The sequence below is a fragment of the Homo sapiens genome, chromosome 4 (assembly GCF_000001405.40).
Source record: "Homo sapiens chromosome 4, GRCh38.p14 Primary Assembly".
Lineage (NCBI taxonomy): Eukaryota > Metazoa > Chordata > Mammalia > Primates > Hominidae > Homo > Homo sapiens.
In genome coordinates, this window is record NC_000004.12 from 106,108,299 (window position 1) to 106,132,710 (window position 24,412).

General features: G+C 38.5%; 1 protein-coding gene across 17 annotated transcripts in view, besides 1 other annotated feature; it reads right to left on the reverse strand.

The window, feature by feature from the left end:
• TBCK (TBC1 domain containing kinase) overlaps positions 1 to 24,412 on the reverse strand; it is a 275,085-nt gene that overhangs the window by 66,700 nt on the left and 183,973 nt on the right. For 16 of the 17 annotated variants that reach the window (NM_001163436.4, NM_033115.5, NM_001163437.3 and 13 more), the window contains one exon: positions 7,905 to 8,080. In NM_001163436.4, the coding sequence (NP_001156908.2) occupies positions 7,905 to 8,080 (176 nt within the window). Of the gene's footprint in view, positions 1 to 7,904; positions 8,081 to 24,412 lie in introns of those variants that run through there. The other variant, XR_001741353.3, reaches the window with a different exon arrangement.
• Positions 11,960 to 12,559: an enhancer, noted in NCBI's record as "NANOG-H3K4me1 hESC enhancer chr4:107041415-107042014 (GRCh37/hg19 assembly coordinates)". NCBI's record gives its function as "activates a minimal SCP1, AML or CMV promoter by ChIP-STARR-seq in naive and primed H9 embryonic stem cells {active_cell/tissue: H9 hESC(naive and primed)}" and the evidence as "EXISTENCE:reporter gene assay evidence [ECO:0000049][PMID:30033119]".

Genomic DNA, 24,412 nt, shown 5'->3' on the forward strand with positions numbered 1-24,412 from the left:
AGTAAAAAAGGAAAACTTCAGGCCAATATCCTTGATGAATGTCGATGCAAAAATCCTCAATGAAATACTTGTAAACTGAATCCAGCAGCACATCAAAAAGCTGCTTCACCATGATCAAGTAGGCTTCATCCCCGGGATGCAAGATTGGCTCAACATGCAAAAAATCAATAAATGTGATTCATTACATAAGCAGAACTAAAGACAGAAACTACATAATTAACTCAACAGATCCAGAAAAGACTTTTGATAAAATTCAACATCTGTTCACGTTGACAACTCTCAATAAACCAGCTATTGAAGGAATATACTTCAAAATAATAAGAGCTATCTATGACAAAACCACAGTCAACATTATACTGAAGGGGCAAAAGCTGGAAGCATTCCCCTTGAAAACTGGCACAAGACAAGGATGCCCTCTCTCACCACTTCTATGCAACATACTATTGAAAGTCCTAGTCAGAGCAATGAGGCAAGAGAAAGAAATAAAGCTCATTCGAATAGGAAGGGAAGAAGTCAAACTATCTCTGTAGATGACATGATTCTATATCTAGAAAAACATGCAGTCTTGACCCAAAAGCTCCTTCAGCTGATAAACAACTTCAGTGAGGTTGCAGGATACAAAAGCAATGTACAAAAATCACTAGCATTCCTATACACCAACGACAACCAACCTGAAAGCAAAATCAGAAAGGCAATCCCATTCACAACTGACACACACATACACACACACACACACACACACACACACACTCCCTAGGAATACAGCACACCAGGGAGGTGAAGGACCCCTACAATGAGAATTACAAAACACTACTCAAAGAAATCAGAGAAGACACAAACAAATGGAAAGACATCCCATGCTATGGATCGGAAGGATCAATATCATGAAAATGGCTGTACTGCCCAAAGCAATATACAGTTTCAATGCTACTCCTATCAAACTACCAGTGACATTAACAGAACAAGAAAAAACTATTTTAAAATTCATATGGAACCAAAAAAGGGCCCGAATATCCAAGACGATGCTAAGCAAAAAGAAGAAAGCTGGAGACATCATGCTACCCAACTTCAAACTACACTATAAGGCCACAGTAACCAAAACAGCATGGCAGTAGTACAGAAACAGGCACATAGACTAATGGAACAGAATAGAGAGCCTAGAAATAAGGCCACACATCTATGACCATCTGATCTCTGACAAAGCTGACAGAAAACAAGAAATGGGAAAAAGACTCCCTATTCAATAAATGGTGATGGAATAACTGGCTAGTCATATGCGGAAGATTGAAGATGGACCCCTTCCTTACACCATATACAAAAATCTACTCAAGGTGGGTTAAAGACTTTAATGTAAAACCCAAAACTATAAAAACCCTGGAAGACAACCTAGGCAATACCATCCTAAACCTAGGAATGGGTTTAGATTTCATGAAAGAAACCAAAAGCAATCACAACAAAAGCAAAAATTGACAAATGGGGCCTAATTAAACTTAAGAGCTTCTGCACAGCAAAAGAAACTATCAACAGAGTAAACAGACTGTAGGAGATTGGTCAGGGTGGTGGAAAAAATTGTAGAAAGACACAAACCTTCTTGGACGTCCAGGAGGTTTTATAAAAGCTTTGGAAAAGCATTTGGCTGAAGGCAGCCAAACCCTCTTATCCGGAGCCCGAGAGCGAAGGTTACATAACAAGGGGATATAAAGGAATTGATCTAGATAAGTTAGTTTATTTAGGCCTTGGAACCTGGCCTTTAATCATCCACGTGCAGGACTGCTCTCTCCAGGGAGGGTGACCATGTTAATTACCCACAAGTGTGTTGACTCAAAGCCTTTGTCATTAAATCTGTACTAAATAAATGCCAGCAGCACCAGCTTGTCAGGGCTGCGGCTGCTACAACTCTTTCTGTCAGCGGTCTGGTCCCTTAGCCTACTCTTTCACTCAATACTTGTGTCTAAGTACATTCTTTCATCCATCATTCAGCCAGGGTCTATGGGTCAGACCCAGCAGGTGGTGCTCCACATGAGGAATGCTGCAATGGACTGCGATAGAACCCTCAAAAATGAAGGTGAAAAGACTGCGCAGTCAGTAAGTCAGTAAGTCATTGGTGCCCACTCAGGATTTCCAAGTTGGAGAGAACTGTTCAGGCTAGGGTTTCATCATAGGACAACAGTTATCAGCTCAACAGCAACAGTATATAAAAGCATTGAAACAGCTGCTTAAAGGTAGCAGAGCCTTGGTTTCGCAGGCTCAATTAAGAGACCTAATGCAAACTACTGTTTCCCATAACCCATGGTTTCTGAAAGAAGGTGCACTAAACTTGGAGATCTGGGAACAAGTGGGTAGAAATCTTAAACAACATGATGTACAAGGGCAATGGGTCCCAATAACATCTTTAACGTTATGGGCTTTAGTTAGGGTGGCTCTGGTCCTACTCTACACAGAAGAGCCTAAAAAGGGAAGGGAGGAAGAACTGTCACCTACCTTACTGCCTCCATCTCCCTCAGCCCCGCTGTCTCCAGGAAAAAATAACAAAGAGGAAATGGAGGTTTTGCCTGAGGCCCCTCATCCAAAAAATTGGAAAAAAGACAAGGGATATGCTGTCTTACGCAAGCAGCATTAGATGGGGAGCTCTTAGCCTGCCTGGTAATGCAAGATCAACAAGGCAATCATTTCTTTTAATGCTTATAAAGAGCTAAAAAAAAAAAAGCATTAAAGAAAACGGAGCCACTAGCCCATTTACAAGAGGGTTAACTGAGGCCACTCTGCAGACCTCTTTCTAACAATGGCCACTGTTATTTCTCCCCTACCCCTAACGTGGCTCTCTCAAAATCCTATTTGGGTAGAACAGTAGCCTTTAAAGGGAGAGAAATTATAAAGAGCCCATGAATTAGCCGAGGAGCAATTAAAAGCTGACCATATAGAACCGTCATACAGTCCTTGTAATTTGCCCATTTTCATCATTCCCCAAAAGTCTGGTAAATGGAGACTTTTGCATGACTTACGTGCTATTGATGCTAATTTGCAACCTATGGGGCCCCTTCAGCAGGGGCTCCCCTCCCACGTGGCAATTCCTCGAGACTGGCCTATAATCATTATTGACTTAAAAGGCTGCTCTTATACTATTCCCCTTGCAGAACGGGACAGAGAAAAATTTGCATTTACAATACCAGCTATCAATAATGAAAGGCCAGCTCACTGATTTCATTGGAAAGTGCTTCCTCAAGGAATGCTGAACAGTCCTACCATGTGTCAGTATCATGTAAATCAAGCTTGGCTCCCCAGTAGAAAAGAATTTCCTAATTGCAGGATTACTCATTTTACAGATGATATTTTACTAGCAGCCCCAACAGAGCTAGTACTTTTCAAGTCACATGCCTCTGTCGTAAAGAATACACAGTTAAGAGGTTTAATCATAGAACCTGGAAAAGTACAGATGTCTTTCTCCTTGGAAATATCTTGGGTACATACTAATTTCCCAGTCAGTAAGACCTCAAAAGGTTAAATTAAATACTAGCAACTTACATACCTTAAATGATGATCAGAAATTACTAGGTAATATTAACTGGATTTGCCCCACCTTGGACATAACTACTGATAAGTTACAGAACTTGTTTTCCATCTTAAAAGGCAATGCTGCCCTAGACTCTCCTAGGTATTTAACTCCTGCAGCACAAAGGGAAATTGAAGAGATAGAGCAAGCTATTTCTCAGAGACAACTAGATTGCATTGATACATGGTATTCAGTTCAATTATTTGTTTTTCCCACTAAACACTCCCCTACAGATGACCCCAGGGCTACGCTTCCTAGAATGGGTTTTTTGCTCACATACCGGGACTAAAACACTCTTTCCCTATATCCAGTTAGTCAGTAAAGTCATTTATTCAGGATGCAGATGATGCAATCAGTTGCTAGGTTATGACCCTGATATCATCAGGATTCCTTTAAGTAAAAAGCAATTCAAGGCAGTATTGCCTTATCTATGGACCTGCAAATAGCACTCTCTGATTACAAAGGCCATATAGAGCATGCCCTTCCTGCTGACAAACTCCTTCAGTTCTTATCTTGTACTTCTGTGGTTTTGCCTACTAAAACAGTTCAATCCCCCATATCTAATGCTTTAACAGTGTTTACTGATGGCTCTGGTAAACATGGAAAAGTCACTTTCTGGTGGAAATCACGTAATTCCCTCACTTGTTCTGGATTTACTAGCGCTCAGAGGGCTGAGATTGGAGCCTTACTATTGGCCTTGGAAACTTTTTCCATTCAGCTCATCAATATTGTTAGTGAGTCTGCTTACTCTGTTTATTTATTGCAGAACCTTGAGAGGGCCCTCATTAAGTCCACTCTGGAGCCCACCCTGTATGCACTTTTTCTCCGACTTCAGCATTTGCTAGATCAACATACACATCCTATTTTTATCATACATATTTGAGCCCACAGCTCACTGCCTGGCCCACTGGCTTATGACCATGATCAAGCAGACGTACAAGTTAGAACATCACTGTTTGACCAAGCCACCCAGTCACATCAATTTTTCCACCAAAACTGGAGAAACTTATCTGAACAATTTCAACTTACCCAGAGACTAGCTAAACAAATTAACCGGCAATGCCCAGATTGCCAGCTCACAGGCACGTTCCCTCCTTATACAGGTGTTAACCCTAGAGGACTAGAACCTAATCAGTTATGGCAAACACCATGTTACACATGTGCCTGAATTTGAAAAACTAAGATATGTACATGTATCCATTAATAACAATTCTCAATTAGCGCTCATGCCTTTCCTGGAGAGTCCACCCGATATGTCATTAAACATCGTCTTTTAACTTTTGCATTTATGGGGTGGCCTACAAAAATTAAAACTAATAATGGTCTGGCTTATGCCAGCTCACAATTTCAACAATTTTGTCACAGTGGAATATCCAACATTCCACAGGCATCCCTTATAACCTCCAAGGAGAGGCCATAGTAGAACATACTCACTCTATCCTTAAAAATATGCTCAGAAAACAAAAAAGGGGGAATATGAGTAAGGACCCTGCAACACTACTAGCACAAGCCTTATTTACCCTTAATTTTGAAAATTTAGATGATAAATTTCAATTAGCTGTAGAAAAGCACTTTGCTAAAACCTCTCAAGACATAAAACCTGCAGTTTTATGGAAAGATGTAAACAGTAATGTACGGTGTGGTCCAAATGAATTGTTAACATGTGGGAGAGGATATGCTTGTGTTCACACCCCCTCAGGTCCTCTTTGGATTCCAGCACGATCCATCAAACCTTACCATAGCATGGCTAGGACCCAACCTGGTACCAGAAATAAAGAAAATGACCCTATAGGACCTACAGCCCCAGAAAATGTGGCTTCCTCGGACGACATAGGCCCTGGACAGGACGCTGAAGAAGAGAAGTCAGAAGACTGAGCGAATCTGCTCTGGACACAGACACCATTCACTCCAGATAATTTGTTCCTTCCTATGCTTTATTAACCTTTTTAATTCTTTCACTTTACCTGCAACCCTCACCTGCTACTCTCTATTGGGCCCATCTCTTAGATACGCCTTTCTTCAGCCCTATTATTTAAACAAACACCCCCTTCTCAGCTTCTAACAACACGACTGCTTGGCTAAGAGGGAATGACATGCCCCAAGTGGGGTTCCTCAATAACGGCACACATTGGACTAAGATGCCAAGTAACACTACATGTCACTCCTTAATTGGAAAAGAATGTGGCTAATTATACTCATATTTGTCTTCTATTATTTACTAATTCTAGGATGCAAAGCCGGAATGCGAGCAGTGCCCGCCACACCTGACAAACCTGCTGCTGCACACATCTGTACTCTTCAATCAACAAAACCTGATGCTAAAAACAGAAAAGGGGGAGATGTAGGAGATCAGTCAGGGTGGTGGGAAAAATTGTAGAAAGATGCAAACCTTCTTGGAAGGCGGGGAGGTTTTACAACAGCTTCGGAAATGGATTTGGCTGAAGGTAGCCAAACCCTCTTATCTGGACCTTGAGAGCAAAGGTTAGATAGCAAAGAGATATAAAGGAATTGATCTAGGTAAGTTAGTTTAACTTGGAACCTGGCCTTTAATCATCCCCATGCATGACTGCTATCTCCGGGCAGGGTGACTATGTTAATTACGCAAAAGTGTGTTGACTCAAAGCCTTTGTCATTAAATCTGTAACTAAATAAATGCCTGCAGCACCAGCTTGTCAGGGCTACAGCTGCTGACTCTTTACAGCACCCTGCTCGGGGTCTATAAGCAGCCAGGTCCTCTAGCCCGCTTTTTCACTGGATACCTGCGTCTGACTGCATTCTTACATCCGTTGTTCGGCCAGGGTCTGCAGATTGGACCTGGCAACAGACAACCTACAGAATGGAAGAAATATCTTTAAGATTAAAATAGGGTGTTATAATGTTATTTTTTATGGTTTTATGGGAGAATTGCTATGAATAAAGACTCAAGCAAAAGAAATACAAATTAAAAAGTTAAAAACATTAAACAGATTCTAAACTCCTGAAGTATAAGATCAGAAGAACTTCCAGACTAGGGGTTCTTGACCAGTTAAATAGAATTTAATGCCTCATTCGGGAGTCCACTCATCCACTCTGCAAAGAGTTTCTAGTATTGCTGAAACCCTAACAACCAGGGATATCAACATTTATACTCTCTCCAAACTCAGAAAAATAGAAAGTAGCAACTTTTCACAAAATGATAAGAATATATCATTTGAAATTGTGAGCTCTCCAATTGTACTGTCAGAAACCTAAGATTCTATGAATTACTTAATAAAGTCTGTAAATGTGTAATTTGAATTTCATTTCAAAAATTGGAATTGAAAATATTAACATGAAAACTTATTGCTGATTGAGTATCCTTAATCCAAAAATCTAAAATCTGAAATGCTCCAAAATCAAACTTTTTGAGCAACAACATCAGGATCAAAGGAAATACTCATTAGAGCCTTTTGGATTAGATATTCTGAACTGGTAAGTATATACATATAATGGAAATATTCCAAAATCCTACAAAATATGAAACCTGAAATACTGTCACAAACATTTTGGACACAGGATACTCAACCTGTATATGCCAATTTTAGCATATAAGAAACCATTAACCTGCTAACCCTCATTTATAGCATTTATAGTTAGTAAATGTTATAAATCTGAACTTATGAAGCAAATTAGTTATAACATTCATTTATATTTTATATATTGAGTTTCTAAGAAAGATTTTAAAAGTTGCTCTGTTTTTAAACAAAGTGAAAACCATTTATCTAGATTCTAGAAAATACACAATCAAAGAATCTGAAGATAATGAAAATAGAAGGAGAAGAGACTGAACTGTTACTATTTTGTAACTCTTCATACTCTAATGCCAATCAAACCCACTGGATGTTACAGTATGTTCAATAGTAAAATCTTCGTAAATAACATTTTGTAGTTAGTGAAAATACATGTTCTATGTAAGCCAGTGTTTTGAAAATTATAATGAACACAAGGTCAGTGTTGAGATGTAGCAAACTTTTTCTCTAGGCTATGAGGTAAAACAGGTGTATACTTACTCTTTATCTTTGCCACAATTCCTATCTACAGCATGAAGGATTCAAATGCCTTCAAGAATAGCAATATACACCAGAGAAACACAAAAAACAACAAAATATCCCAATATTCTGGCATTGTTTGGAAAATATCATCAGGTCTCTGGTATGTAATGTTATCTTATAAAACCTTATGCAAGACCATTCTGGCATCCAGTTTGAGAGTAATTTAACTACTTGAATTCAGAAGAATCCCAGAATTTTTTTTTTTTAACCACACAACACTTAAATGAAAGGATGCAATACAAATAAGCAGTACCACCCTTTAAAACAGCATATGCAAAGGATACTCTTCACTATTCCGGATGTCAACCACCAGGAGCTTTGGTTTACTGGACTTTGTTTTCTTGCTGGGTGTTTTGAAGTGGCCTGTCACTGTGAGCTCACACAAGTCAATCAGGTCCTCTGCTGAAATCCGTGGTGATACTTCTGACTTCAGGTCATTTAATGGGATGGATTCTCTTGACTGAAAAAAAAAATGTACAAAAAAAAATATTGAGAATATTATAGAAAAACAAATTATCCCCAGTAATAGAATATCTTGATACCAAACAATACAGCATATAAGAGAAGAGGAAACTATCTAATTTTCACAGTCTATTGTGTAATTCAGTGGTCTCCAACCCCCAGGCCATGGACTGGTACTGGTCCATGGCTTGTTAGGAACTGGGCCACACAGCAGGAAGTGAATGGTAAGCAAGTCAGCAAAGCTTCAGCTGTATTTACAGTTGTTCCCCATTGCTCCGTTATAGTCCGAGCTCCGCCTCCTGTCAGATCAGTGGTGGAATTAGATTCTCATAGGAGTACAAACCCTGTTGTGAACTATGTATGTGAGGGATCTAGGTTGCAAGCTCTTTATGAGAATCTAATGCCTGATGATCTGTCATTGTCTCCCATCACCTCTAGATAGGATCATCTAGTTGCAGGAAAACAACCTCAGGGCTCTCACTGATTCTAGCTTATGGTAAGTTGTATAATTATTTCATTTTATATTACAATGTAATAATAATATAAATAAAGTGCACAATAAATGTAACGTGCTTGATTCATCCTGAAATCATCCCCCCCCCATCTCAAACCCAGTCCATGGAAACACTGTCTTCTAGGAAACCAGTCCCTGGTGCCAAAACGGCTGGGGACCGCTGGTGTAACTGATACCTTACTATTGAGGTTTACTTCTTTGTTATTTACACTTATAGGAAAGCATTATTGTTTTGATTGACTGCAAGCTCCTGGGTCAAACATGTAGAAAGAGATGAGGCAAAGATTTCCTTATGAGAGTGCTTTAAAAAAAACAGCTCCTTTAAGTACATTTCACTTTTCTTTAAATATAAACTACTGTTGTTTTGAATTGCATTAATTTTAACTCAGGTAATATGAGAAATTGCACTGTAATTAGGCATACATAGTAATTAAAGAAACTGGTTCTAATATATGTGTTGGACTTTTATAATATAATTTATGTTATATATAAATGGTTGAGTGGAAACTTGATTCTCAGAGATGAATAAAGAGCACCCTAATGCTTTCTTAAATAGTAAACCAAACTAACAATGTGTCTTAACTGTGAAGGAGGTAACTTAAGACTCCAGGCTATCAAACCCATCCATTGGTTTGTGTCTATGATATTGCATAAAAATGATTCAGACTAAGGGCTATTTACAATTATTCTCTATGTTTCTTAGTAGAAGAAGGATGAGCCTTTCCCCATAATAGGCAATGCAATACAACACAACTAAATTCAACATAAATTTATTGAGCACTAGTGATCTCTTGAAATCTTATGTGACATGACTTGAGAATTTAAACACTTTAGGCTGGGCGCGGTGGCTCACACCTGTAATCCCAGCACTTTGGGAGGCTGAAGTGGGTGGATTACGAGGTCAGGAAATGGAGACCATCCTGGCTAAACCGGTGAAACCCTGTCTCTACTAAAAATACAAAAAATTAGCCGGGCGTGGCAGTGGGCGCCTGTAGTCCCAGCTACTTGGGAGGCTGAGACAGGAGAATGGCGTGAACCCGGGAGGCGGAGCTTGCAGTGAGCCAACATAGTGCCACTGCACTCCAGCCTGGGTGATAGAGTGAGACTCCGTCTCAAAAAAAAAAAAAACAAAAAAACACACAAACACTTTAAAAAATCAAGTGATTAACATATGAGGATTCAAAAAATTTTTAATTTATGTTTCATAAGTTATCAAAATAGAGTCTAATAATTATCTCGTTTACTCATTTTCTCTTTTTTCTCAGTTACATTGTGGAATTCTACACTTAGAATATCCAATTTAGAATTTGTAGGTAACAAAAAATAAACCATATAAATCATTTACCAGATAGATTTATTTAAAAAAATGGTTTTCAATTGGAGTTTCATGTCAGCTCTCACCCCTTGGGTTTCCCCAGTTGTACTCTGAATTTTTCAGTGGTAAAGCACTTGTTCTCTTACTTCATTAACTTTTAAATAGAAATGGAAATTGCTAAGCTTTATGGGTTTATAGCTTTTAATAAAAAATAGGCATTAAGAATCTTAATTTTTTAATATTAAGAATTAAAGCTACTTAAACATCCTGAAATTAAAAGTGCTTCAGAAAGATTAAAGGGTTTTGAAATCAGCAAGCCATACAATCAATGCTTCCATCTCCTTTTTCATTAGATTGCAATCTCTACAGGTATTTTTTCCAGCCTTCACATGAAGTCATACATTTATGAAGATAAAATAAAGAACTTTTTGATTAGCCCAGTTCCACTTTTAGTCATTTTGTGATGAATGCGGCATTTCAAACTGAAGTTTCACCTGAGTGAAAAGAGTGCCCTGACTAAGAAGAGGATTTGTCCAAAGTATTCTTTATGAAGAACTGAGTGGTTTAAATAAAGATTTGACCTAAGCATTAGTTCCAATCAAATGTATCATATGGGAGGAGTTTTTCAAAGGAAAGAGTATTGCTATATGAAATGGTAAGAAGAGAAGGAGAGGAATTGCTGACAAATTTAAATGTTCTAAACTTCTGTGAATGTGTATGTGTAAAGAACTTTAATGTATACAAGTTCTTCTGCAAATGAATTTTAGGAGATTAGTAAATTAAATTTAGAAAAAATTATACTACTTTGCTTTATGAAGAAAATAATTACAATATTAAAAACAGAGAATTTAGTTTTTCATACTTTTATAAGCAAATTTACTAGTCATTTAAAATTTCCACTTAGAGGCATAAAAGTAAAACTGTACAACTTTTGTCTTATTTAGTATTATAGATATTGTGTGTCTATATCACATTTTCCTTATGTGAATGGGGGTTTCAAATTCATGAGACTTTGTTTACAGGTAATGGACAAGATTTAGGATAATTATAAAACAACACTGGAAATGTCCATCAATTTATCATTTCTGCCCAAAAGCCTTTACATACACTGCATGTTAAACTTAGATGTCCACCCAGAAATAAATCAATGTATTTACAGCCAACTGATTCTTGACAAAGCCACCAAGAACTTTCAGTAGGGGAAAGGACAGTCTTTTCAATAAATGGTGCTAGAAAAACTGAATATCTATATGCAGAAAAATGAAACTAGACCCCTATCTCTTACTATATGCAAAAATCAGATAAAGATGAATTAAAGACTTGAATATAAGACCTGAAACTATAAAGCTACTAGGAGAAAACATTGTGGAAATGCTTCAGGACACTGGTCTGGGAAATGATTGTTTGGATAAGACCTCAAAAGCACAGGCAACAGAAGCAAAACTAGACATAGAATTACAACATTCTAAAAAGCTTCTTCACAGCAAAGAAAACAATAAACTCAGTAAAGAGACAACTTGCAGAATGGGAGAAAATATGTGCAAACTCTCCATCAGACAAGGGATTAATAACCAGAATATATAAGGAACTCAATAGCAATAATAAAATAATCTAATTTACTAACGGGCAAATGATCTGAATAAACATTTCTCAAGAGAAAACATACAAATGGCCAAAAGGTACATGGAAAAAAAAATGGTCAACACCACTAATAAAGAGAGAAATGCAAATCAAAACCACAATGTGAGAGGAGCCAAGATGGCCGAATAGGAACAGCTCGGGTCTACAGCTCCCAGCCTGAGCGACGCAGAAGATGGGTGATTTCTGCATTTCCATCTGAGGTACCGGGTTCATCTCACTAGAGAGTGCCAGACAGTGGGCGCAGGTAAATGGGTGCGCGCACCGTGCGCGAGCCGAAGCAGGGCAAGGCATTGCCTCACTGGGGAAGCGCAAGGGGTCAGGGAGTTCCCTTTCCGAGTCAAAGAAAGGGGTGACTGATGCACCTGGAAAATCGGGTCACTCCCACCCGAATATTGCGCTTTTCGGACCCCCTTAAAAAACGGCGCACCACGAGATTATATCCCGCACCTGGCTCGGAGGGTCTTACGCCCACAGAGTCTCGCTGATTGCTAGCACAGCAGTCTGAGATCAAACTGCAAGGCGGCAGCGAGGCTGGGGGAGGGGCGCCCACCATTGCCCAGGCTTGCTTAGGTAAACAAAGCAGCTGGGAAGCTTGAACTGGGTGGAGCCCACCACAGCTCAAGGAGGCCTGCCTGCCTCTGTAGGCTCCACCTCTGGGGGCAGGGTACAGACAAACAAAAAGACAGTAGTAACCTCTGCAGACTTAAATGTCCCTGTCTGACAGCTTTGAAGAGAGCAGTGGTTCTCTCAGCACGCAGCTGGAGATCTGAGAACCAGCAGACTGTCTCCTCAGGTGGGTCCCTGACCCCTGACCCCCGAGCAGCCTAACTGGGAGGCACCCCCCAGCAGGGGCACACTGACACCTCACACGGCAGGGTATTCTAACAGACCTGTAGCTGAGGGTCCTGTCTGTTAGAAGGAAAACTAACAAACAGAAAGGACATCCACACCAAAAACCCATCTGTACATCACCATCATCAAAGACCAAAAGCAGATAAAACCACAAAGATGGGAAAAAAACAGAACAGAAAAACTGGAAACTCTAAAACGCAGAGCTCCTCTCCTCCTCCAAAGGAACGCAGTTCCTCACCAGCAACGGAACAAAGCTGGATGGAGAATGACTTTGACAAGCTGAGAGAAGAAGGCTTCAGACGATCAAATTACTCTGAGCTACGGGAGGACATTCAAACCAAAGGCAAAGAAGTTGAAAACTTTGAAAAAAAGTTAGAAGAATGTATAACTAGAATAACCCATCAGTGTGCTGTATTCAGGAAACCCATCTCACGTGCAGAGACACACATAGGCTCAAAATAAAAGGATGGAGGAAGATCTACCAAGCAAATGGAAAACAAAAAAAGGCAGGGGTTGCAATCCTAGTCTCTGATAAAACAGACTTTAAACAAACAAAGATCAAAAGAGACAAAGAAGGCCATTACATAATGGTAAAGGGATCAATTCAACAAGAAGAGCTAACTATCCTAAATATATATGCACCCAATACAGGAGCACCCAGATTCATAAAGCAAGTCCTGAGTGACCTACAAAGAGACTTAGACTCCCACACATTAATAATGGGAGACTTTAACACCCCACTGTCAACATTAGACAGATCAACGAGACAGAAAGTCAACAAGGATACCCAGGAATTGAACTCAGCTCTGCACCAAGCAGACCTAATAGACATCTACAGAACTCTCCACCCTAAATCAACAGAATATACATTTTTTTCAGCACCACACCACACCTATTCCAAAATTGACCACATACTTGGAAGTAAAGCTCTCCTCAGCAAATGTAAAAGAATAGAGATTATAACAAACTATCTCTCAGACCACAGTGCAATCAAACTAGAACTCAGGATTAAGAATCTTACTCAAAACCACTCAACTACATGGAAACTGAACAACCTGCTCCTGAATGACTACTGGATACATGACGAAATGAAGGCAGAAATAAAGATGTTCTTTGAAACCAACGAGAACAAAGACACAACATACCAGAATCTCTGGGACACATTCAAAGCAGTGTGTAGAGGGAAATTTATAGCACTAAATGCCCACAAGAGAAAGCAGGAAAGATCTAAAATTCACACCCTAACATCACAATTAAAAGAACTAGAAAAGCAAGAGCAAACACATTCAAAAGCTAGCAGAAGGCAAGAAATAACTAAAATCAGAGCAGAACTGAAGGAAATAGAGACAGAAAAAACCCTTCAAAAAATTACTGAATCCAGGAGCTGGTTTTTTGAAAGGATCAACAAAATTGATAGACCGCTAGCAAGACTAATAAAGAAAAAAAGAGAGAAGAATCAAATAGACACAATAAAAAATGATAAAGGGGATATCACCACCGATCCCACAGAAATACAAACTACCATCAGAGAATACTACAAACACCTCTACGCAAATAAACTAGAAAATCTAAAAGAAATGGATAAATTCCTCGACACATACACTCTCCCAAGACTAAACCAGGAAGAAGTTGAATCTCTGAATAGACCAATAACAGGAGCTGAAATTGTGGCAATAATCAATAGTTTACCAACCAAGAAGAGTCCAGGACCAGATGGATTCACAGTTGAATTCTACCAGAGGTACAAGGAGGAACTGGTACCATTCCTTCTGAAACTATTCCAATCAATAGAAAAAGAGGGAATCCTCCCTAACTCATTTTATGAGGCCAGCATCATCCTGATACCAAAGCCTGGCAGAGACACAGCAAAAAAAGCGAATTTTAGACCAACATCCCTGATGAACATTGATGCAAAAATCCTCAATAAAATACTGGCAAAACGAATCCAGCAGCACATCAAAAAGCTTATCCACTATCATCAAGTGGGCTTCATCCCTGGGATGCAAGGCTGGTTCAATATACACAAATCAATAAATGTAATCCAGCATATAAACAGAGCCAAAGACAAAAACCACATGATTATCTCAATAGATGCAGAAAAAGCCTTTGACAAAATTCAACAACCCTTCATGCTAAAAACTCTCAATAAATGAGGTATTGATGGGACGTATTTCAAAATAATAAGAGCTATCTATGACAAACCCACAGCCAATATCATACTGAATGGGCAAAAACTGGAAGCATTTCCTTTGAAAACTGGCACAAGACAGGGATGCCTTCTCTCACCACTCCTATTCAACATAGTGTTGGAAGTTCTGGCCAGGGCAATTAGGCAGGAGAAAGAAATAAAGGGTATTCAATTAGGAAAAGAGGAAGTCACATTGTCCCTGTTTGCAGATGACATGAGTGTATATCTAGAAAACCCCATTGTCTCAGCCCAAAATCTCCTTCAGCTGATAAGCAACTTCAGCAAAGTCTCAGGATACAAAATCAATGTAGAAAAATCACAAGCATTCTTATACACCAACAACAAACAGAGAGCCAAATCATGAGTGAACTCCCATTCACAATTGCTTCAAAGAGAATAAAACATCTAGGAATCCAACTTACAAGGCATGTGAAGGACCTCTTCAAGGAGAACTACAAATCACTGCTCAAGGAAATAAAAGAGGATACAAACAAATGGAAGAACATTTCATGCTCATGGGTAGGAAGAATCAATATCATGAAAATGGCCATACTGCCCAAGGTAATTTACAGATTCAATGCCATCCCCATAAAGCTACCAATGACTTTCTTCACAGAATTGGAAAAAACTACTTTCAAGTTCATATGGAACCAAAAAAGAGCCCACATCGCCAAGGCAATCCTAAGCCAAAAGAACAAAGCTGGAGGCATCACACTACCTGACTTCAAACTATACTACAAGGCTACAGTAACCAAAAGAGAGATATAGATCAATGGAACAGAACAGAGCCCTCAGAAATAACGTCGCATATCTACAACTACCTGATCTTTGACAAACCTGAGAAAAACAAGCAATGGGGAAAGGATTCCCTATTTAATAAATGGTGCTGGGAAAACTGGCTAGCCATATGTAGAAAGCTGAAACTGGATCCCTTCCTTACACCTTATACAAAAATCAATTCAAGATGGATTAAAGACTTAAACGTTAGACCTAAAACCATAAAAACCCTAGAAGAAAACCTAGGCATTACCATTCAGGACATAGGCATGGGCAAGGACTTCATGTCCAAAACACCAAAAGCAATGGCAACAAAAGACAAAATTGACAAACGGGATCTAATTAAACTAAAGAGCTTCTGCACAGCAAAAGAAACTACCATCAGAGTGAACAGGCAACCTACAAAATGGGAGAAAATTTTCGCAACCTACTCATCTGACAAAGGGCTAATATCCAGAATCTACAATGAACTCAAACAAATTTACAAGAAAAAACAAACAACCCCATCAACAAGTGGGCGAAGGACATGAACAGACACTTCTCAAAAGAAGACATTTATGCAGCCAAAAAACACATGAAAAATTGCTCATTATCACTGGCCATCAGAGAAATGCAAATCAAAACCACAATGAGATACCATCTCACACCAGTTAGAATGGCAATCATTAAAAAGTCAGGAAACAACAGGTGCTGGAGAGGATGTGGAGAAATAGGGACATTTTTACACTGTTGGTGGAACTGTAAACTAGTTCAACCATTGTGGAAGTCAGTGTGGCGATTCCTCAGGGATCTAGAACTAGAAATACCATTTGACCCAGCCATCCCATTACTGGGTATATACCCAAAGGATTATAAATCATGCTGCTATAAAGACACATGCACACGTATGTTTATTGCGGCATTATTCACAATAGCAAAGACTTGGAGCCAACCCAAATGTCCAACAATGATAGACTGGATTAAGAAAATGTGGCACATATACACCATGGAATACTATGCAGCCATAAAAAATGATGAGTTCATGTCCTTTGTAGGGACATGGATGAAATTGGAAATCATCATTTTCAGTAAACTATCGCAAGAACAAAAAACCAAACACCGCATATTCTCACTCATAGGTGGGAACTGAACAATGAAATCACATGGACATAGGAAGGGGAATATCACACTCTGGGGACTGTTGTGGGCTGGGGGGAGGGGGAAGGGATAGCATTGGGAGATATACCTAATGCTAGATGACGAGTTAGTGGGTGCAGCGCACCAGCATGGCACATGTATACATATGTAACTAACCTGCACAATGTGCACATGTACCCTAAAACTTAAAGTATAAAAAAAAAAAAAAAAACACAATGTGATATCATCTCACCTGGGTTAAAATTGCCGTTATCAAAAAGGCAAAAAGCATGGACGTTAGTAAGGATGTGGAGAAAGGAGAATGCTAGTACACTGTTGGTGGGAATGTAAATTAGTATAGCCACTATGGAAAACAGCATGGAGGTTCCTCAAAAAACTAAAAGCAGTTGCACCATATGATCCAGCAATCCCACTGCTGGGTATATACCCAAAAGAAAGGAAATGAGGATATCGAAGAAATATGCACTCCCATGTTCATTACAGCGCTATTCACAATAGCCAAGATACAGAACTAACCTAAATGTCTATCAATGGATGAATAAAGAAAATATATATTTATTAATATACACAATGAATTACTATTCAGCCATTAAAAAAGAATGAAATCCTGCCGAGTGAGGTGGCCCATGCTTGTAATCCCATTATTTTATTGTGCCACTGCACTCCAGCCTGGATAACAGATCGAAACTCCATCTCAAAAATAAATAAATAAATGAATAAAATAAAAGAATGAAATCCTATCATTTTCAGCAAAATGGATGGAATTGGAGGTCATCATGTTAAGTGAAATAAGCCAGGCACAGAAAGGCAAATATTGCATGTTCTGACTCGTATGTGGAAACTAAATAAGTTGATCTCATGGAAGTAGAGAGTAGAACAGTAGTTGCTGGGAAAGGTGGACAGGGTGGGTTTGGGACATAGGGGGAGAGTGGTGGGGTGGAGGTGGTGGTGTTGTGGGAGATGGGGATGAAGAGAGGCTGGTTAATGAATATGGAAATACAGTTAGATAGAAGGAATAAGTTCTAGTACTCAATAGCACAGAAGAGTGACTATAGTTAACAATAATTTATTGTGTATTTCAAAAGAGCTAGATTTGAAATATTTCCAACACAAAGCAACGATAAAGACTTATGGAGTAAATCTATATAAAGTATTTAGAATGGCGTCTGGCAAGATATGTGCTCTATAAATTTTTATCTTATACCTCTTTTCTCACCCCTCACCATCTTGTCCCTTATGCTTTAGCATTAGCACACTACTTGCCTTTTCACGCCACTGTGCCTTTGCACATGTTGTTCCTTCGCTTAGAAAGCCACAACCTGTGCATTTAATAAATCCCTGCTTGCCTTTCAAATCTCAGTTCAAACACTACTTTCTCTGTGAAGAAGGCCTTTCTTTTTAACTCCTGACTGACAAAGTTTCTCTTCTATGTCTTCACAGGTATCTGGTATACATCTTTATTATAATGAGATGAGTCATTTCCCACTAGACTAAAAGCTTCTCAAGCATGAAAAAATTATTTTTATACCTTATTTTCCTCAGGACCCAGTGTATTATCTGACACACAGAAAGTATTAAGATATATATATATTGATTATAAAGGAATAAAATAGTATTTCCAAATCATCTACTGTTCATGAGTAACATTGTGCTATGAGGTATGTATATGTAACGAAAACTGTGCAAGTACCTCTATTATAGTAATTACTATTTGTGAGATATTGTCTATTTCTCCACTTGACTTACAGTCTCCTTGAATGGAGGTTCCACGTGTTTTCATATTTGTATCTCGAAAAGCTAGCACAAGGTCTGCAACAAAAAAACTCAATGGATATTTGATGAATGAATGAATGAGTGAATAAAAATATGATTAAATGATTCTGCAGAGCAGAATCAATTCTTATGTCTGGATTATCAGACAAACTCTTCAGGGATGGCAAAGTCATCACATGCTCTCTGGCATCTGAGCACCATGATGGTTAATAAAGAACACTAAAATGTATGTCTGCCTCAATAATTTGTCAACAAAGTCATCTTTTGTTTCCTCAACTGAAAAACTGGAGATGACAGTTGCTACCATTTAAAGCTTTCAAAACTGTGCTCTAATTAACTGAAAGAAGTTGGCTGGGTGTGGTGGCTCATGCCTGTATTCCCCAGCTCTTTGGGAGGCCGAGGCGGGCAGATCACAAGGTGAGGAGATCGAGACTATTCTGGCCAACGTGGTGAAACCCCATCTCTACCAAAAATACAAAAATTAGCTGGGTGTGGTGGCATGTGCCTGTAATCCCAGCTACTCGGGAGGCTGAGGCAGGAGAATCGCTTGAACCCAGGAGGCGGATATTGCAGTGAGCTGAGATCGTGCCACTGCACTCCAGCCTGGTGACAGAGCAAGACTCCGTCTCAAAAAAAAAAAAAAAAAAAAAAGAAGTTAGGTGAATATAAAGGAGACCAAAAATAAACAAAAAATCCTAAACCATCTTTAGGAAAATAGGCAAAATAATTTAATAAATATATCAACGAAGAGAAAAACAGACAAATATTAGTGTTGACATTTTGGGGTAAACAAAGTTCAAAAATCTGTAAATGGACTGAGTGCGTGCATGTGTCTGAGAGGGAGAGAAATTACAAATCAGAAAAACTGTGTTTTTATATTCTTTTTCTTTCTCATTTTTAATCATATTATGAGAACATATATAAGCATACAGAAATATTTAAAAAATACAATACTCTGTACAATTCTATAATACATTAAAAAATATTGATCCAAATATTCCCCAAATAGTAGAAAACCTCAGAAAACCTACATGTTCATAGGCCTAAGTACACCTGAATCAACTGGGGTGTGTTCATGTGTGTGTGTGCATGTTTGTGTGTGTGTGTGTATGTGTTCAAAAGTCAGAAAGTCATAGAAAACCTCAATAGGCCTTTTTAAATATAGCTAAAATTTTAAAGTTTTCAAATGATTACGCTGAAGAAAGATGCCAAGCACAATTTTTTTCCAAACAATTCTATCTTATTTTCAAAGTATAGGGAATTCTCATGATATAATAACTGCTCAAAGGCAAAAAAAATTGAAAAAGTGCCCCAGGCCATTTTATTTATGAAGCTGCCTTAAGCTAATATTTAAATCTGACAAGGATAGCACTACACACACACACACGCGTACACACACATGCGTGCACACACCACCCCCACCCAGTATTCCTTAGAAAAACAGATTTTAAAACTCTAAAAACTCTAGAGGCTGAATGCAATAGCAGTTTTTAATACTTCCATAAAAATGACTTAGGACATATTTCAGGAATGAAAGATGATTCAATATTAGGAAAATTTTAAATATAGCTCATCAACTTAATTGGTCAAAGGATACAAATATGTAATCAACACTATAAGTTACATAAGGCCAGATGTGATACAAATTCACATCGACTCCCAATTTTAGAAAAAGAAAACCCCATTGTAGAGCATACCAGAAGAACACTTAATTAGAATGAAACATGTTTTTTGAGACAGCTATTCTTTATCTTAAACATTTGACATTCTACTTATCAATGAATCACTAGAAGCAGAGTTACTGAAATCAAGATGCATATAGTCCTAGAAAACCCAGAATAATCCGAGGAAAATCCAATAAAACTGCAAAGAATTTCATTAGGGTTTAGTTACAACATACACACAACAAAATGATTAGCTTTTCTATACAGCAGCAGTAGGCAGAAAATATAATAGACAAAAGCTTACATTCATGATATCACAATATTCATCCAAAATAAACTACCTAGAATTAACCTTATATTTAAAGAAAATGAAATAGTTTCAGGCAAGACATTTGAAAAAATAAGGAGAGGGGATATTAGATGCTTTCTAGAAAGATTCAATATTATAAAAACTTTATTTTTCCTTAGGGTAATGTATATAAGTATAATCAAAATCCTAAAATAAATCATATTTTCTATTTTGAAACTTAAATTTTGAAGTTTATTTGACAAACTAGACAAAAATGCCAAGAAAATATTGGAAAATAATAAATAAAACACACTGTCATATATTAAAAATGTACAAAGTTAACATCGTATGATATTGCATCAGGAAAGACCAAAAGATTAATTGGATATAATGGAATGCACAGAAGCAGACTCAAATACATATAAATATTTGGAAAAGAAAAGGATGTCATGTCAAATCACTGGGTGATGATTTGAAATGGCATCATTCTATTCTTTTATTTTGTTCTTTATTATTTAGAATATAGTACTGGGATAACTTGTTAACTGGAAGAAAGTAAAACTGTGTTTCTATCTTACATAATACAGAAAAATGATTTATATAGACTAAGCACTTATTTTATTTCAATTTCCAGGATACATGTGCAGGACGTGCAGGTTTGTTACATAGGAAAGAGGGCCATGGTGGTTTGCTGCACCTATTGACCCATCACCTAGGTATTAAGCCCCATATGCATTAGCTATTTATCCTGATGCTCTCCCTCTCTCCGCCCCCTGGACAGGCCCCAGTGTGTGTTGTTCCCCTCCCTGTGCCCATGTGTTCTCATTGTTCAGCTCCCACTTATAAGTGAACATGCGGTGTTTGGTTTTCTGTTCCTGCGTTAGTTTGCTGAGGATAATGGCTTACAGCTAGATGAAGCACTTCTTAAGTATAAAGAAATGAAATTACAAAAGAACAAGAAAAAGTATTGATGACTTGAAACATTTACGTGTATAGCAAAGATGAATTCTTAAAGAAGAGTAATGTATGTGAAGAATACAAATTTAAGATGTCCTTCTTGTAACAAATAAAAATCCTGCTTTGTCAAAAAAAAGGGGAGATATAAACATATACTTGACAAAAGAAGAAACACAAATAGGTAATAAAAATGTTTTACGTCATTAATAATCACAGAAATATAAAGAAGTATTTACAGTCATAGAAATACAAAAAGTAGGTAAGTATTCTGGTTATCTTCTGTTTGTCCCTCCAGATTCACTCTCCACTGGTCTCCACCTTGCTTTCTGCCCTATGTGGCAACCTGTTTAGACTGCGTCAAGAGGGACTTTCAATCCTCTGCTTTAAAATGGGTACAGACAATAGGAAGAGTGAGGTCACAGTATTCATTCCCCTAGTATATTGGCTTGGCTGTGTCCCTTGACCAAAGGTCACTGTGCTTCTGAAGACAGTGCTCTCTACTTGCCTCTCTTATCTATCTTCTGGTAACCACTTATTCCCTTAACTAGGGGTGGTAACAGGTCTGTAGCTAATATCCATAATTTACTCCATTACTGCTTTCATTTCCCCCCAAAGTACCATCTTGTAATTACCATCTCTAAATAAATTCATTTTAAGTGTCCTAATTTGAGGGTACTAATTATTGGTGATGGAAAGAGATACCTAGTGAATGTATAAATCAACATTAACTTCTGGAGAAAAATGTGTAATATGTATTAAAATATGCACATCTTTTAATCTAGAAATTTCTTAGAAATTTGTTCTATGGACAGTCACAGATTATAAAAAGTTGCACAGAAAAAACATTTATCAAACATACTGTTTTTCTTAAATTGTGAAAAACAAAAATAATGTTAATACACAATAAAAGAGGATAGAACAAATAAATAGCACTGAACTCATGTAAAGAAATCCCATTCACCAATTAAAACTATGTTTACAAAAAATATTTCCTAATGAAGAAAATGTTCAGGATATATTATTAAGGGGATATTATATATTATCAAGGGAAAAAAGACCCTGTAATACTATAAATTAATTATGGACCACTTTTGCGCTAAATACACACACACACACACACACACACACACACACACACACACCACACAGAAACTGCAAAAGTGGTTATTTCTGAGTAGTGGAATTAATTTTATTTTTGTTCTTCCTGATTTTCTGTGTTTAGGTTTTATTCATTAATGATGAGCTACTTTTGAATAATTAAAAACATAAAAATATGCAACTTGTTTTCAATCAGCATTATTAAACTCTCTTAAATACTTCATAACTATGAATCTAATTGTTTTAAGATAATTCTGATGAAATGTTTACAGCAATGTAAAAAGACTTTCCAAATGAGAAGTCATGACTATACTTATAATAGGTAATAGATCTGGCACTGAAAAACATGCAGAGATGTTAAAAAGATAATAAATATTATCTTTAAATTCAGATTGATATGGACTAGCTGGGTCCCCCCCAAATCTCACCTTGAACTGTAGTAATCCCCACATGTCAAAGATAGGGCCAGGTGGAGATAATTGAATCATGGGGGTGGTTTCTCCCATACTGTTCTCATGGTAGTGAGTAAGTCTCACGAGATCTGATGGGTTTGTAAATGGGAGTTCCCCTGCACAAGCTCTTGCCTGCCGCCATGTAAGATATGACTTTGCTCCTCATTTGCCTTCCACCATGACAGGCCTCCCGAGCCATGTGGAACTGTCAGTCAATTAAACATGTTTCCTTTATAAATTACCCAGTTTTGGGTATGTCATTATTAGCAGCATGAAAAGAGATTAATACAGTAGGCCAGGCGCCGTGGCTCATGCCTGTAATCCCAGAACTCTGGGAGGCCAAGGCGGGCGGATCACCTGAGGTTGGGAGTTTGAGACCAGCCTGACCAAGATGGAGAAACCCCGTCTCTACTAAAAAGACAAAAATTAGCTGGGCATGGTGGCGCATGCCTGTAATCCCAGCTACTTGGGAGGCTGAGGCAGGAGAATTGCTTGAATCCAGGAGGCGGAGGTTGCAGCGAGCCAAGATCGCATCACTGCACTCCAGCCTGGGCAACAAAAGCAAAACTCCATCTCAAAAAATAAATAAATAAAAATACAGCAAATTGGTACCAGTAGAGTGTGGTGCTGCTGTAAAGATGCCCAAAAATGTGGAAGCAAGTTTGGAACTGAGTAACAGACAGAAGTTGGAACAGTTTGGAGGGCTCAGAAGAAGATGGAAAAAGGTGGGAAAGTTTGGAACTTCCTAGAGACTTATGAATGGCTTTGACCAAAATGCTGATAGTGATATGAACAATAAGGTCCAGGCTGAGGTAGTCTCAGATGTTGACGAGGAACTTCTTGGGACTGGAGTAAAGATCACTCTTGCTATGAAAAGAGACTGGCAGCATTTGCCCCTGCACTAGAGATCTGTGGAACTTTGAACTTGATAGAGATGATTGAGGGTATCTGGTGGAAGAAATTTCCAAGTTGTAAAGCATTCAAGAGGAAGCAGAGCAAAAAAGTTTGAAAAATTTGAAGGTTGGCAATGTGATAAAAGAAAAACCAATTTTCTGGGAAGAAATTCAAGCCAGCTGCAGAAATTTGCATAACTAATGAGGAACCAAATGTTAATCACCAAGACAATGGGGAAAATGTCTCCAGGGCATGTAGGAGACCTTCATGGCAGCCCATCCTATCACAGGCCTGGAGGCCTAGGAGCAAAAAATGGTTTTGTGGGTGGGGCCCAGGGCCCCACTGCTCTATGAAGCCTCATGACATGGTGCCCTGCAACACAACTGCTTCAGCTCCAGCCCTGGCTAAAGGGGGCCAATGTACAGCTCAAGGCTTTGCTTCAGGGGGTGCAAGCCCCAAGCCTTGGTGGCTTACATGTAGTGTTGGGCCTGTGCTGCACAGAAGTGCACAGAAGTCAAGAATTGAGGTTTAGAAATATCTGCCTAGATTTCAGAGGATGTTTGAGACACCTGGACGTCCATGCAAAAGTTTGCTGCTGGGGCAGAGCTCTCATGGAGGACCTCTGTAGGGCACTGCCTAATGGAGCTGTGAGAAGAGGGCCACAGTCCTCCAAATCTGAGAATGGTAGATCCACTGAGAGCTTGCACTGTGAGCCTGGAAAAGCCACAGACACTCAATGCTAGCTCATGTAAGCAGCTGGGAGTGGGGCTGTACCCTAC